The 16,107-nt window shown below is 42.3% G+C and overlaps 1 protein-coding gene across 5 annotated transcripts in view, besides 3 other annotated features; it reads left to right on the top strand.

Moving 5' to 3' along the window:
• Positions 1-16,107, top strand: part of CCNY (cyclin Y) — a 325,643-nt gene that overhangs the window by 269,747 nt on the left and 39,789 nt on the right. For 4 of the 5 annotated variants that reach the window (NM_181698.4, NM_001282853.2, NM_145012.6 and 1 more), the window contains 3 exons: positions 9,193-9,228; positions 13,202-13,259; positions 13,353-13,472. In NM_181698.4, the coding sequence (NP_859049.2) occupies positions 9,193-9,228; positions 13,202-13,259; positions 13,353-13,472 (214 nt within the window). The remainder of the gene's footprint in view (positions 1-9,192; positions 9,229-13,201; positions 13,260-13,352; positions 13,473-16,107) is intronic. The other variant, NM_001282854.2, reaches the window with a different exon arrangement.
• Positions 573-1,073: an enhancer, noted in NCBI's record as "H3K27ac hESC enhancer chr10:35806272-35806772 (GRCh37/hg19 assembly coordinates)". NCBI's record gives its function as "activates a minimal SCP1, AML or CMV promoter by ChIP-STARR-seq in naive H9 embryonic stem cells {active_cell/tissue: H9 hESC(naive)}" and the evidence as "EXISTENCE:reporter gene assay evidence [ECO:0000049][PMID:30033119]".
• Positions 1,074-1,574: an enhancer, noted in NCBI's record as "H3K27ac hESC enhancer chr10:35806773-35807273 (GRCh37/hg19 assembly coordinates)". NCBI's record gives its function as "activates a minimal SCP1, AML or CMV promoter by ChIP-STARR-seq in naive H9 embryonic stem cells {active_cell/tissue: H9 hESC(naive)}" and the evidence as "EXISTENCE:reporter gene assay evidence [ECO:0000049][PMID:30033119]".
• Positions 13,705-14,904: an enhancer, noted in NCBI's record as "CDK7 strongly-dependent group 2 enhancer chr10:35819404-35820603 (GRCh37/hg19 assembly coordinates)". NCBI's record gives its function as "activates an origin of replication core promoter dependent on BRD2, BRD4, P300/CBP, MED14 and CDK7 cofactors, with strong dependence on CDK7, by STARR-seq in HCT116 cells {active_cell/tissue: HCT116}" and the evidence as "EXISTENCE:reporter gene assay evidence [ECO:0000049][PMID:35650434]".

Raw genomic sequence — 16,107 nt, forward strand, 5'->3', positions numbered from 1 at the left:
GTGGGAGTAGGGGTAGCACTGATAATTCAGGAAATCTTTTTAAAAAATGATTTTGGTAGTTAAGTGTGGGGTATTGAAATATTTTTACATAGTACTATTTACATTAAAAGACCAGAATCTTAAAGTATTTTAAATGTAGATTACTTAAAATATATTTTTTATTTTTGTTCATGCTTTCTACCCTTGCACTTTTTATTGAAGCCATCCTGGCATAACTCCACTAACTTTTTACCTTCTAAATAAAATGAGACTCCTATGTTCCCAGTTGGAGACCCGGGGCTCCAGTAGAAAGCCTGCCTGGCCTAGTGAAGGTACACTTGCCTGGGGTCTGGAGATCTGAGTTCTGACCATGGCTCTCTCACCAACAAAGAGAACGTGGGTGGGATCCTTTCTGTGGGGCCTTTAATTCCATATTTTTAAATGGAGTTTATAAGGGAGGAAGGAAGGGGGAGTCTTGGGATAAACTTCTTTCCCTTACGGTGCTTCAGTTTCCGTACTTTAAAGAGGGAGGGAACACTGGTTTTTCCTTTATTGTACCACTAGCATTATGGTAATAATGACCCTTGGCAAGTACTATAGAGAACCTGATGTGCTTGGGCCTGTGGTCAGCAGCTCAGTTTTAAAAAATCTGAATTTTATCTCTATACTTGTTTCAGAAAGCACACATTTCACAATACATGTCAGCATATGAAATAAGTGTTTAAATTTTAAATAAGGAGTATTCGTCCATTTCAGTGGGCCAGGTTTTCAGGCCTAGAAGCCCTGTTCTGAGTATGACCACATGTGATGATGAGTCAGGCAGTGAGGACTATAGCCATCTGTAGTCAGTGTCTGCTCTAGGCAGAAGGTGGAGGACAAGGCCGCTTGGGTAGAGGCTGCCTGTTGGCACTGCGCTTGTCAGGTTCCGTGCTTCCAGGATCTAAGTGGCAATGCAGCCTCTTCCTTACTTCCTCAGCACCGGAGTGCACGGGAAGTGACTAGTGGGCATAAACTCACACTGGCAGCACTCACAGAGCTCTGTCTTAGCTCCACCACGCATGCCCTTGCCTGAGCCACGTTTACCCTTGGGCTGTGGTTTACTGAGGGGAAATGGGGTGTGCAGTACCTTTGGAAGTATTTTCCAGATTAGGTTATTAGGACTCGCGGAGAGAAGTGGAAAGCCCTGAAGATCTGTGTACCACATGACTGTTGGCTTCTGCTCAATCTCTGAGGAGCCCAGAACAGAAGCTGCTAACTTCCCTTTAATCCTGGACTCCTCTCATTGGAAGCCAGGGCAGAGTAGCACAGTTTCCCATCCTGGGGCAGCGGGAGCTCTTGGGATTCACAGGTGGCTCTGTCTTAGTTGCTCAACACTTTCATCCTTGGACCACTTAAAATTGCCACTGGCTGTGACACAGACACTTAGGAGCCTAGTGAGAGAACTGTGTGACAATTTGATAGTTCATCGGTCAACTCTAGGAGGCACAAACACCTAAGTTAGAAATATGTTGTCTGTGTAAATCACTGTTTCTGGCCCTGGCTGCACCTAGGAGTCACCTGGGAGCTTAAAAACACACTGATGATTGAGGTCTCCTTACAGATCTTGATTGAATCTGGCTGAGGCATACTGTGGGTATCTGGACTTTTAACAGACTTTGATTGAATCTGGCTGAGGTATACTGTGGGTATCTGGATTTTTAACAGCTCTTGATTGAATCTGGCTGAGGCATACTGTGGTTATTTGGATGTGTAACAGCTCTTGATTGAATCTGGCTGAGGTAAATTGTGAGTATCTGGATTTTTAACAGATCTTGATTGAATCTGGCTGAGGTATGCTGTGAGTATCTGGATTTTTAACAGATCTTGATTGAATCTGGCTGAGGCATTCTCTGGGTATCTGGATTTTTAACAGATCTTGATTGAATCTGGCTGAGGTATACTGTGGGTATCTGGATTTTTAACAGCTCTTGATTGAATCTGGCTGAGGCATACTGTGGGTATTTGGATTTGTAACAGCTCTTGATTGAATCTGGCTGAGGTAAATTGTGAGTATCTGGATTTTTAACAGATCTTGATTGAATCTGGCTGAGGTATGCTGTGAGTATCTGGATTTTTAACAGATCTTGATTGAATCTGGCTGAGGCATTCTCTGGGTATCTGGATTTTTAACAGATCTTGATTGAATCTGGCTGAGGTATACTGTGGGTATCTGGATTTTTAACAGATCTTGATTGAATCTGGCTGAGGCATACTGTGGGTATTTGGATTTGTAACAGCTCTTGATTGAATCTGGCTGAGGTATATTGTGAGTATCTGGATTTTTAACAGATCTTGATTGAATCTGGCTGAGGTATGCTGTGAGTATCTGGATTTTTAACAGATCTTGATTGAATTTGGCTGAGGTATACTGTGAGTATCTGGATTTTTAACAGATCTTGATTGAATCTGGCTGAGGCATACTGTGGGTATTTGGATTTGTAACAGCTCTTGATTGAATCTGGCTGAGGTATACTGTGAGTATCTGGATTTTTAACAGATCTTGATTGAATCTGGCTGAGGCATTCTCTGGGTATCTGGATTTTTAACAGATCTTGATTGAATCTGGCTGAGGTATACTGTGGGTATCTGGATTTTTAACAGATCTTGATTGAATCTGGCTGAGGCATTCTCTGGGTGTCTGGATTTTTAACAGATCTTGATTGAATCTGGCTGAGGCATACTGTGAGTATCTGGATTTTTAAACCTCCCCAGGAGAGTCTCACAGGCAGCCAAAGTTGAAGACCCCAGATGGAAGTGGACAGCTACCCTCCCCTCCCCCACCAATGTCCCCCTGCCACTTTTAAATGAACTGCGGGTTAGAATGTAGAGAACAGAGAAGCTGAAGAGTAGGAACAAGCTATGAGACTTCAGTGTAGATTCTGGGCTTCCCTGATCCGAAGACATGGTCTCTGCACTGCACACATCTGAAACTTCTTCAGTCTGTAATTCAGTTGCTTTAAAAAGTATCTTCTTTTTCTTTTCTTTTCTTTTTTTTTTTTTTTTTTTTTTTTTGAGACAGGATCTCTGTCCCCAGGCTGGAGTGCAGTGGCATGATCTCAGCTCACTGTAACTCCGCCTCCCAGGCTCAAGAGATCCTCCCGCCTTAGCCTTCCGAGTAGCTGGGATTACAGGTACACACTACCATGGCCAGCTAATTTTTGCATTTTTTGTAGAGACATTTGTTTCACCTTGTTGCGTAGGCTGGGCTCAAGCAATCTACCCACCTTGGCCTCCCAAAGTGCTGAGATTATAGGCGTCAGCCACAGTGCCCAGCCAAAAGTATCCTCTTTTTAAAATGCACACTGGGAGCTGGGCAGGGTGGGACCAACTGAAGTAGAGCCATCAGAATCCTTCCCTGGAAATACCAGCATCTCACACTTGGTGTAGCTAAAGAGTCAAAAACATTTAGAGACATTAGCAGGTCCAGTTGAGTTCTTCAGCTAGAGGGTTGACAATATGAGAGGAAAGGGATACTCAGAAGGAAGAGTAGTGAAAAAGATAGGAAGTTGTGAAATCCACATGCCATCCCATTCTAAAATTTTGCCTACATCTTGCCCTACTCCTGTCCAAAGAAAACTCCTATTTTCTTTTTTGCTTTCTTTGCCTCCCGTTAACCCAGGTCCTCTTGCACCCTACTCCAGACATTAAAACTGATAACACAATCATTAATATTGTAGTTCAGCTTCATGGTGGGCATAAGTGAGCATTTATGGGCCAGAGTTGCTATCTGAAATCCAGTTACAAGGTTGTAACTGTGAGAAGAATGCCCTAGGTTCTAAACAGCGATTTATAAGCTGATTTTTGGAAAATAATCCACCTGTAAAGTGGGGATTGCCAGAAATAAACGTATTTGCAAATTCTAGCTGGGGATGGGTGGAGGGTTGAATGCTAATCTAACAGTGAAAGAAAAGCTATAAAAAAGTTGGGTACTCATTCAGTGCTCACTCTTTCTGTAGACATAATTTTTTATTTTGAGAACTTGATTTTCCTATTTTTCCCCTAAATGCCAACAGCTGTGGTATGAATTTAGAGTTTGTCAGCCACACTTTGTGCCTCTGCAGCCAACCCCTCCCCACCAAGTCCTCTGACAAGCATAAGATGATGATCAAAGAAAAGAGCGGAGGGTGGTGGGGAGCCCCTTTGCGCACTTGGCCATACCATCAGGGTCCTTGGCCTCCAGGGCCAGGGAACAGCTAATGCCCGTCACAGCCCTGTCTATGGCTCAGCCCCACTGTGCTGCTAGAACTCACCCCCTCTTGCCCTTCAAAGGTTTTAGGATTGTCATATACATTGCTAATTTAGCTCTGGGTAAGAAGACAAATGAAGTGCCAAAAGTCACAAATCCATTTTGTTTTCTTGTGCAAGAAAATAGCATTTACTTCCTCCCCAGCTATGTGGCAAAAGCTGCTGAGCAAACCCTATAGTCCAAATGTTTTGTTCCCTGATAGGGCTCTGGCCCTTCCTTGGTGAAACTGCACCATTTTCTGAGGTCTTGGCAGAGCTGACCAAGCCTCTGAAGTTGGGCACTCCGGGTCCCCCAGGTCCCCTGAGTTCTTTCTGTGTCCTAACCGATAATCAGAGTGCCTTGACCGCTCTTTGGCCTGGTAAACTTGGATTTGATAAGGGTGGTAAGAGCCGGTTAACTCTGTGGCTCGCCAGGGTTAATTGATCTGGTTAGCCACTCTGGGCAGAAACTAAAGGAGGCCTTAGGCACTTGTCTGGTAGGGTAGACACTGGTTCTGTCTGGAGGTGAGGCAGAAAAAATTAGCAGTGTCACAGCACTCCTCCGTCGGACAGCACCTACATGGCTCCTGGGCTGTTCTCTGAGAGACTGGATCGTTCTGGCCCTGCGAAGGGGATATGCCTTGGGGTCCTTCACCATAGAAGCCTATAAACAAGGCACAGGCTTTGTTGCACAGATTGACAGTGAGGGTGGCTATCTATGCCCCTGCTTTCCAGGGGCCGGATGGCACCCCGTTCACTGCCAGCATGCACGGTAAGCCCCTCAAGACTGCTCCACCTGGATGGAAGGACACTGTTTCCCATCTTAGGTCCCTTGGATGGGGCTTCGTGGCTGAAATAGGGGAAGTAAAAACAATGACCGGCACAGCTAAGCTGAGGAGTGCTGCAAAAACAAGGGAACCTGAAAAGAGACCAGAAAAAAAGGGAGATCCAACAAAACGGGTGTCAAGGAGCCAAATTTGACAAGACCTTCTAAAGACAGGTCCAAAAACAAAATAGACAGCCCAGTACAATTCTCCTTAGACTTTTAAAAGTCCCTAAAGCCAGAGCGCCAGTTTACCACTAGGGTTAATCCTAAACCCTGGGCACTGCCTCTAGAAAAAAACCCAAGGACAGAAGGTGGTGAGCACCGCCACCTCTACACTGACAAGAAAGCAAAGTTTTCTTCAATGTGGTGCCATTCATTGGTTCCCTCTAAACAAAGAGTTTTGACTCTGGTGGCTCCAGGGCTGAGCGTACTCCATGCCTGCTGATCCTCACAGTTTCTGGGCCCCTGACTTATAAATGTGGATCCAGAGATCCATCCACCTGCCTTTGCGAGATGAGCACGCCTCCTGTTACAAATTAGACATGCTCCTCTTACCCCACTGTGGGTCTACATATCAGTCTCAAAACACAGTTTGGGGAGAAACATTCTCCTGGGAGCTGCCTTTAGAGGAACGCAGACAAATTCCATCTCTGGGCAAGGGCAATAAGAGCCACACTCCAGGGGGAGGCCAAATGAGAGTCAGTATGTGACCCCACCCAAGATAGATTGTATAGATACACGTCTCCCAGGAAGACTCAGAAAGGTAACAGCAGCTACTCCAAAACTAAAGAGGGTGAGGATTGTGCATCCTACACAGAACCCATACAACAGCTCTGTGTGGCCGATGCAAAAATGTAACAGCACCCGAAGGATGATGGTTGATTACCAAAAACTAAGGTGACTCTGGCCACACATGCTGCGGTCCCAAATGTTAGCCCCAAAAGACTAACTGCTTGTTTAGGAATATGAAAGATTGTCCTATAACAAAACTTTCTTGAACATACCCTTAGACCCAGAGTCCCAGGACATGTTTGCCTTCACCGGTGAGGCCCCCAGTGGACCCTTCAGGTTTTCCTCCAGGGGTGCTCACAAAACCCCACTACTGCCTTGGCTTGATGGCCAGAGACCTGGCTGTTCGGGTGAATGCCTTGCAGGTCGCCTAAAACATTGTATAGATAATATGTCACTGACTTACACAGGTTTGAGTCTTTTAAAAAAGGCTACCCAAAAGGTTCTAAAACACCTACAATTCCCAGAGGATAGGTTGTCAACCAACAGAAAGTCCAGGAACCAGGGGACACCATAAAAGTCCTGAACATGGTCTAGTCGGGTGAAGCTGGTTTTTCCAACAGCCGTATTTGACAAAAGACACAGCTGCAAGCAGTTGAAATATTGCAGACCTTTGTAGAGCCACAAAGATATGAAAGGACCTTCATTTCCACTTGGCCCACTGTCTCAGGCCATCTTACTGCCTAATTAAAAGGGGGCGCAGTGGGGCAGAGATGCGTTTTTGGGGTGATTCCAGCCTCAGGTTTGACAAAAGAGACTGTGTGTAGAGTGAAGCTACAAGCCTGGGCCTGATTCAGTTGTCAGCTGATGGCCTCTTTGGGCAGTCACTTCCTTCAAGACGACTGCTAAACTAGTCCATGGAGCTGTACTGTGCCTGAACCCTCATCCTGGTGGTCTCACTTCTGGGATATAACCTTGAGTGGAAATTGGCCTACAGAGTGGCTCTACTTTTCCTGGAGGTCTTAAGCCGTGATAATATCCAATCTTGGCTTTAGCTTGGGAGATAGTGATCTTGGGGCCCTGAAGATTCTCGCCCATTCGGCAGAAGCCAGAGGACCTCTTACTAGGGGAATATCAATAATAGTAACTTTTCTTTTAAAAGTTAATATAAGATCATGCTTTTATATACTTTTTTTATTTGATCATAATTACAACTCCATGATGTGGGTTGTATTGTTCTAATTTTATAAATGAGGAAATGAAAGCTCTGAGAGGTGAATTAGCACTAATAAGGAGGAAGGAGCCAGGTTCAGAACCCAGGCTGATGTGACTTCAGTCTAGTGATATTTCTACTGCTGTATGCTCCCTCACAGGGGAAGCAGGAACATCTTCTTTCTCAAAGACATTAAACTAATCACATGAAATATTCCTTTGAAATGTAACATTAGATTAGAAGAACAGTCATCACAGCATGACTAGTAAACGAATGAAACTAATTCCTCCCTTTCCCAGAGGCTACATGGTCAAAACAGAAGGGCACACAGCCTTATACAAGCCAGAAATCCTGGCAGCTACCGTCTGAACCTGAGTTTTTCCCATTTATAAAATAGAATCAATAACATCTATTTTTTCTTGCAGGACTGTTAACATACGTGAAAACACTTTGAAAACCTTACTATTTTTTATAAATTCTGAAGCTCTTTTATACCCCAGTTACAATTTCTTCATCAGCTTCAATGCTTTTCAAGATGTTAGGAGAAAAAGGATGTATTAGCACTTATTTGCTCATGAGTACTTTCAACTAGGCTGAAGTCATTTGAATGAAGAGCTCTGGAAAGAGAGAGGTTTGGAAGAATATAAGAGAGTGAGATTAGCTACTGTCATGTTAAGTCACAGGAAAACATCTGAGTGCTTTGGAATCCAAGGTGCGTGCTCATGTCTCTAAGCCGGTGTGGCTGAGTAAGCGGAAATGTTCGGGCCGAGTCGGTACCCTGAGAGGATCAGAACACCGTCTGTTGCAGCCAGTTACCTATGTTCTTAGAGGCTTAAAAATAATTTTTTTGGCCTCCTCAATACATTTTAATGTAAAACACAAATAGTGGAAGTATCTAGACAGTTTTTGAAAGAGGAAATTTTAAAAAATTGTCCAGAACATGAATAACCCTGCCAACCTGATAGGAGTTTAAAGAAACTCAGATAGAAAAAGGAAAACTTTTTTGTTTGCTTGTTTTTTTACCTGTCCAGTTGGAGACCACTTGGTCAAAACATTCGGGTCAGTGTCAGTGAGTGTGAGTTGAAACAGATGCTGGTGGGAAGTCCACTGGTGTAGACTTTCCGCAAAGATGTTTGGCAATATGTGTTGAGAGCCTCACCATTGTTAATGACTTGAGGTCAAGTGATTCCAATTATAGGATGTATCCTTGTGGAAATAATATAGTTGTAGATGGCACAAATATTGGGATGTTCATTATGGTATTAATTATAATTGCAAAGTATTAGAAACAACCTAAATGTTCATTAGTAGGGGAATAGTTAAGTAAATTATTCGACAATCATATGAAGGAATATAATCAGCCATTTAAAATCATGTTTTTAATGATAAAAAAAAGTTAACATGAAAAAAGTTAAAAGTAGGATGGAAACCTGACTCCTTACACACATAATTTATAGAAAGCTATATATCTTAAGCTAATAGTTTTATTTGGGCGGAATATTTTTCTTACATTTTCTAAATATGTTCTCCAAAATTTCTACAATGAATATGTTTTCTAGTCAGAAAAAAATTGTTTTAGAAAAGAAAAAGTTCAGGGAAGGGAATGTAATTGTTCATTAAATTCAGACCTTTTAAAATGTAAAATAAAATGTTAAGGTAGTGCTACAAATAAAAGTTACAGTACCATTTCAGCAAGTGAATGAATAACTTGAGCGGATTGCCAAGAGGTTATTAAGGGAAAAATAGCAGACTTCTTGGGTGATATTCACATTTTTCTGGTATTTATAAATAAACCATGAATTTTTTAAACTAGTAGGTTATGAGTTGGAGATTTCTAAAGGTGTTTTCTTTATACCACCTATTTTTTACATAGCGCTTTTTTTTTTCCCACAAGTGAGGAAAGCTGAAAATTTCTGAATAGAAAGAGCAGTTTGTTTCTAAATATCACTTGAAGTTCTTTTGTTTCTAGAAGAGATGTAATAATTCCTGGGAATTAGTGCCACATTGATTTACTCAGAAGAGGACATTTTCCTAATGAGCATTGTGAATGAGATGGGACTGTTCAGAAAGATTGTTAGACTTTTACTTCTGTTTAAATATTTATGTTCAGACTGTGGCCAGGTAATGTGTAAGGTCTTGAATATGCTCATGGACACTGAACCTCTGCATTCTATTTTTACAGTGTCGCTCTTGCAATATATTATCACATCAAAAACAGGTATGTGGATGGTTGTGTGCTAAAAACATCATACGTTATCTTCTGTTATGTTGTTCCTATTTTTTCATATTCTAGTTGCTTAAACCTTTGAATTATACTTTCTTAACTCATATTTTCATAGAATTTCTAAAGGTAATATAATTTACTAAAACTTCCCAGGTAAGTGCTGAACTGCTTTAGAATCAGTGGAAACCAAATGAGCGTGGTTGAAACCAGCAAAACAGACAAAGCTTCTCAACGATGTTTGGCTTCCTTTTTCTTCTTTATTTTCTGAAAAATTTGTTGAAACATTCTGTCTTTTGTAAAATGTCACTTTAAAAGTTCACTGGGTGCAACTTTAACAGGAAAAAATGTTTAATTTATAGTTTGAATTCAGTAGAGGCAATTTTGGTGTAAATTTAGGCATGAACTATTTTAATATAGAAGCCCTCTCTGATGTAAGTGTATCTGGCAATAGTTGGTTAATTTTAAAAGTCAGTTAAAACAGGGAGTGAAAAAAAACTCTACCTTATACATTTTATTTCAACATAAAACATGTAAGAATACATTCATTTGCCAGTTTTTAAAAATGCAACTTCAAGACATTTGCTTCAAGCACAGGACATTGATTGGAGAACCAAAATGTATTTCTTTCATAAGCCACAGCTATCATTAATGCATCCTTTCCAAGTTTTTTTTTTTTTTTTGTCAGTAGTGAGAAAGCTTGAAGACATTTACATAACAGATGAGTATAAAATTTTTCCAGTTTTGACCACACCTAATCTACAGCAAATTTATTTTTAGTGATTTCCTTTTATCGGATCTTTCCAAAGCGTCCTCCTTCGTTTTCATGAGGACATAGCCACTCTCATGGTAATCATATTTCATGCATAATGTGACATTCATGTATGTTACACGAGTCTGCTAAGCACAGCTGGTGTGAACTAGTTTGGGAACAAGCAGAGCCACCACATGCTAAGTGCAGAGCTCAGCCCGTGGGAGCCCCACACGTTGTCGGTTTACAAAGCGTGGTTAGTCAGTGCAGGGGAGGTTGGATGACAGCTTCTAATGAACAGTATTGGAGAAAACACGAATATCCAGAAGCAGACACCTAGAAAGGGATTCTCTATGATCACCTATTTCCATACTGTAATTGTGATTCATGGTTCTTTATGGTGCTTGAGAATTTTGGATTTAAGAACTTACAAAACAGTGCAACTTTGGAACTCTAAATCTTGAATTAGAGTAATGTATCAGTGAAAGTGTAGATTTTATCTTGTTGCCTATTTCTATACTAGTTCAAACCTTTTAAACTTGTAAGGCTTAAGAAACAGTGTAATCCCATTGATGAAGCTCAGTTGTGCTTTCAAGACAATTTTGCATTAGAATCTCTAAGATATTTCTCAGTACTTACTTAGACTATGATGGATCCTGAAGTGAATGTAGCCAGAGCTGATAATAATGAGTTGGCTTTGTGAAGCACCTACTCTGACTGCTCTGGTCAGTTCTTTACATGCTTTAATAACAACTCCTTAAGGTGATACTGGTATCTTCATTTTACAGATAAAGAAATTGAGGCACAGAGAGATTAATTTGACTAAGATGATACAACTAGTAAATTGGGGAATTGGGAAATGAATTCAATCTACCACTCAGACCATTAATCTATTGCTCTCCTAGATTAATGATGATAAATTGCACCAAAAGTAAGTGAGTGGAAGTAGAGAAAGTCCAGCTGAAAAATTGAGCATTTGTAAACAAGCAAGATTAATGTACAGATTGCCACCTGCATGTCTCTAGGTATGAGGAGGGATGCCCGTCTGCATGCCTTCTCTTCGCTCTCATACTAGGCTGGCCTTTGGTGCTGGTGATAGACCTGTTAGCTTGATAAAGGTGGTGTGGTGCTGTTCAGTTGGGACACACAGCTTTTAGAGGAAGTAAGGAAACAGTCTACTTCTCAGAGGATTCTCCAGAATCCCCTTTCCTGAGTCGTCTTAGCTCGAGCTCTTAATTCTCATTTATATTTTTAGACTCTGTTCTCATTTTAAAAATTACTTCAGGCGAATGTTTCTCTAGGGTGCTGGATGCTTTCAGGGGCTCTCATTCTCCAGGAAAATTGAATGGGGCTCAACTGCTGAGGAATGGGGTCCTGGGCCAGGTTCTGTCTCTCCTGTAGCATCTTGAATGCCTCATAGAGATTCAAGATTTGGTTTATTTGAAAACTCAGTAAATAAGGTGAGGGAATCCGCTGATTCTTTGTAGCCCAGGTTGGTATCAGAGTGTAACCACGTGCACCCAGAAGCTGCTTTTTGCTCACAGACTACCTGCTGGGTTGAACCTTTCTTTCGCTTGGGTTGATCTGTGTCTGTGCTGCCTGTGTTCATGCAGGCAAATGTAAATGAGCACAGGTGTGAATGCCCAGAGCTTTAAAAATAATTGCTGTGGCTGAGCGCAGTGGCTTACGCCTGTAATCCTAGCACTTTGGGAGGCCGAGGCAGGCGGATCACGAGGTCTGGAGATTGAGACCATCCTGGCCAACATGCTGAAACTCCGTCTCTACTAAAAATACAAAAATCAGCTGGGCCTGGTGGCGCGTGCTTATAATCCCAGCTACAAGGGATATTGAGGCAGCCTCTACAAGGAGGCTGAGGCAGGAGAATCGCTTGAACCCGGGAGGTGGAGGTTGCAGTGAGCCGAGATTGCACCAGTGCACTCCAGCCTGGTGACAGAGCAAGACTCCGTCTCAAAAAATAATAATAATAATTGCTGTTGTGCAAATGTAGGAATGAAAATTGAGCTGTTTTGTTAAGCTCTTTCTCTTTTATTTTTACACAGATGGTAAATTTCTAAAGCAGAAATTGTAATGTTTGTCATGATAAGTGTGTGTTAGGGACAGGTCTGTAGCCTTCTGAAGTTCTGAAGCCTGACACTGAAGCACAGACTATGGAAATTACATGCAGCTAGCCAAAAGCTGTCATTTCCAAGTTTGGTTGTTTAAAGAAAATTTTTTAGGCAAAACTTAAATTTCATATAACAGATGAAAGTAGAGCTGTCACTCGTGAGGTACGGAGGGTCCCCGCAGAGCCCAGCGGCCCACGGTACTGTGTTCACAGTGAAAGCTACCTCTTTAAGTGGTTCTGTGCACGTACCAGCCTGGTAAGAGCTAACTGTTCACATATAGGTTATTGACTAAAGACTTTTTATCTGTCACCTGTTGTTTTTCAGTATAAAATTGTGAAACTTAAATGAAGTAGTGACGTTGCGTGTTGTGAATAATCAGACTGATCTCTAGGATACATTGATATTCATTCTTACCCTGGCGCTTCTTTCCTATCACCCACAGTATGTTGATGGCTTAAGCAGATCCAACAACCTTTGCTTGGAAATAAGATGTCAAATTTAAGTCATTTGCCTAGATTCGATTCATTTGAAAACTCAAAAAATTAAAATTAAATTTTTACTTAATTTAGCTAAGTGTGGTTTATAACCTTTATTTCCTTGGGCTATTTTAATCATAAGTGATTAAGTATTGCACCCAAGAAAAATCATTATTCATGAATAACCATTTAGCACTGACTTGTGTTTCTTGAAATAGTTGAATTGGCTGGGTGCAGTGGCTCACACCTGTAATCCCAGAACTTTGGGAGGACAAAGCAGGTGGATCTCCTGAGGTCAGGAGTTCGAGACCAGCCTGGCTAACATGGTGAAACCTTGTCTCTACTAAAAATACAAAAAAAAAAAATTAGCCGGGTGTGGTGTTGTGTGCCTGTAATCCCAGCTAATTGGAAGGCTGAAGCAGGAGAATCACTTGAACCCAGGAGGTGGAGGTTGCAGTGAGCTGAGATGGCGCCACTGCACTCCAGCCTGGGCAACAGAGTGAGACTCCGTATCCCAAAAAAAAAAAAAAAGTCATTGAATTAAAATGTATTTTTGTTTTATTTGAATGACATTCTTGCAGAAAGTAAGTTTCATTTTCTATTATTTTCCCTACCAGGGACCCAGATGGAAGGATGCTCTTAGATATTTTTGATGAAAATCTTCACCCTCTTTCGGTAATCTCCTCCGTGTGTTTCATGAGATGATTTAATTATTTCTCTTTTGCTCCAATCGGGAGATCAGTCATCTGAAAATATTTTCTTCCCCAGAAATCCGAAGTGCCACCAGATTATGACAAACACAACCCAGAGCAGAAGCAGATTTACCGGTTCGTTCGGACACTGTTCAGTGCTGCTCAGCTGACGGCTGAATGTGCCATCGTCACCCTGGTGAGTGCCCTCAGGATGGCCACACCCATCCCCAGCCGAGGTGGTCCAGGGCCCGTTCCTGTTACTCAGCGGAGTGAGGTTGGAGCAGGGAATCCTCACCAGGTTACCCTGTGGACACCGTGGCATAAGCTTCAGTGTTGTCGTTCTCCTGGGAGAATAGAGGATAGATATCCCGGAAGAGATTGTGAAGATTGTTCTGTAGCCCCCACCTAAAGTCATTTGTGAAATCACGTTCAAATCCAGGAAATGCTGAAATTAAAAATGCAGGTAAGTAAAACAGTAGGGCTAAGAGAGTGGTTATATGGCCAAGGTACTCCCTGTATACGTCTAGGTTTCCTGGTGTTGATTCCCTACAAAGATTGTAATAGTATTAGTAAGATATGATGAATACATTCATCTTATATGAACACTTGTCTAGGAAGGAGTGTGTATATTCCTAGCTTCTGTTTTGTGACTTTTGAGTAAATGTGTCTGCAGGATATTCAGAGACAGTATGGAGGTAACGTATATTTTAAGACTCAAGAAAAAATAAAAATTTGTTTTTACAGCTGGGCTCCATGGCTCACGTCAGTAATTTCAGCACTTTGGGAGGTCAAGGTGGGAGGATCACTTGAGCCCAGGAGTTTGAGACCAGTCTGGACAACATAGTGAAACCCCGACTCTACAAAATTTAAAAGTCAGCTGGCCATGGTGGCACGTACCTGTGGTCCCAGCTACTTGGAAGGCTGAGGTGAAAGGATCACTTAAGCCCAGGAGGTCAGGCTGCAGTGAGCTATGATCATGCCACTGCACTCCAGCCCGAGGGGCAGAGCGAGACCCTGTCTCAAAAGAAAAAGTATTCTTACTTGGATTCTTAAAATGTTATGCACTATTTAGGTCAAATCTCACTTGGGAAATAGATTTAACAATGGAACCCTTTTTGTCACTGACCTTTTACATTGTGTATAACTTAGATGAGAAATTAGCTTTGCCTGTGCATGAGCTATCCTGGAGATCAGAATACCATTTCCTGTAGTTTCTGAGAAGAGACAATTGTCTAGTAGAAGCTTTACAGGCGACCGAAGGACTCTTTGTGTCTCCGCCACATGAAGAGCTGTGTGCTCCGAGGCTAACTGAACAGAAACCCTGTTGGCTTGTTGCTCATTCATTCATCTGTTCATCTGTTTGTTCATTCCTTCTCATTGAACTCACAGCCTGAAGGATAATAGAACAGACAATCAAGTAATCATTAGATGATTAGGAATGATTGCAGGTTCCTATGTCATAATTGAGTAATGTATGTACTGCCCAGCTTTGTTCCTCAAAGGGATTTTAAGTTCTAACCAAAACACGCAACAGGGCAACAGGGTTGAGATTTTTATGTAGGGAAATTCAGTGAAGGGAAAAGAAGATTAAGAAAAGCAGATGAAACCATAGATGAAATTAGTACTGGAATACATGCCATGAGGAAGGATTTATTTTGAAGTTGCTGTAGATGGAAAGTGGCGGGGATTTTTTCTACCTTTAATTCCTAAGAAAAATATGGCCTGGCTGTGAAAGATAGTGCCTTCCTGGTCGGGATTATTATTTAGCTTGAAGGATGTTCAGGGCCAGCATTTAAACCCCACAGCTCACCCAGTGTCTGCCTTGAGAGAACATCTAACAGGCATCCCTTGCTGCCCTCTGCATCACTCACCAAAGGTGACAGGGCTGATGAGTTCATTTCTTTGGAGTAGTGTAGGACTGGCACTTTTCTTGTGAATAATTGTAACTATTGAAATCTTCATTTGTCCTATGAAATAGACTGGTGTTGACCAGGATACCAGTTTGTATGGGGGTCTTGTTGGTTGCAGCTGGAGAGGAGCAGCCTTGGAGGCCTTCGTGGTAGGTGCAGCCCTGCAGCCCATCCTCTGGTCTCTGCTGTCTGCTGAGGCTCATCAGCGCAGCTGCATGCTTGTGGGTAGAGGGCACAGAGACGTGTGCCTTGAGCAAGACTCTTGTAGGATTGTTCTTCCCTCCTCGTGTTCCCTAGAGTTAGAAACAGTCATTCAGGACAAGTCTGGCCTGGAGTTGACAGAGATGCATTCATTAAGCCCTTATTTTCACTGGGCATGTGTTTGGCATCTTGGCATGCTGCTCAGCAGGCAATGGAGGAGGAAGAGCAGTTAGCCCTGGCCGTGCTTCCCACACGGAGTAGGACTGCAGCCTGCTGTGGACAGAGAGCCTACAGGCCCTTCAAACACCCAAACCTACTTCACCCAAAGCAAATATTTCACAGCTTAATCAACTTCCTTTTAAAAGAGTAACAATAACTTAGATCACTAAGTGTATTTTTTAGCCTCCTAGAATATGCTGAAAGCTCTCCTATGGATACTGCCACATGAGGAAATTTGAAAGGGAGTGAGGTAATTGATTTGCACCTTGATGAGTTATGTAGAGGCCTTTGTGGTGTACCTGCAGCAGCTGGAGGAAGCCAGGCCTGCAGTGAAGTGGGCAGAAAGGCCTTGGCATCCAGCTGCCCCTCCACGAGGCCCTTCCCTTCCCTCAGGAGTCACCCAAGCTGACTGATCCTGAGAACCATGCATGGCACCCACTTTAGTCCTATGCGGTACTTCGACAACATGAAAAGCTCATTGCCTGTCTGAACTGGGATCTT

This window comes from Homo sapiens, chromosome 10, assembly GCF_000001405.40.
Source record: "Homo sapiens chromosome 10, GRCh38.p14 Primary Assembly".
NCBI classification, from domain to species: domain Eukaryota; kingdom Metazoa; phylum Chordata; class Mammalia; order Primates; family Hominidae; genus Homo; species Homo sapiens.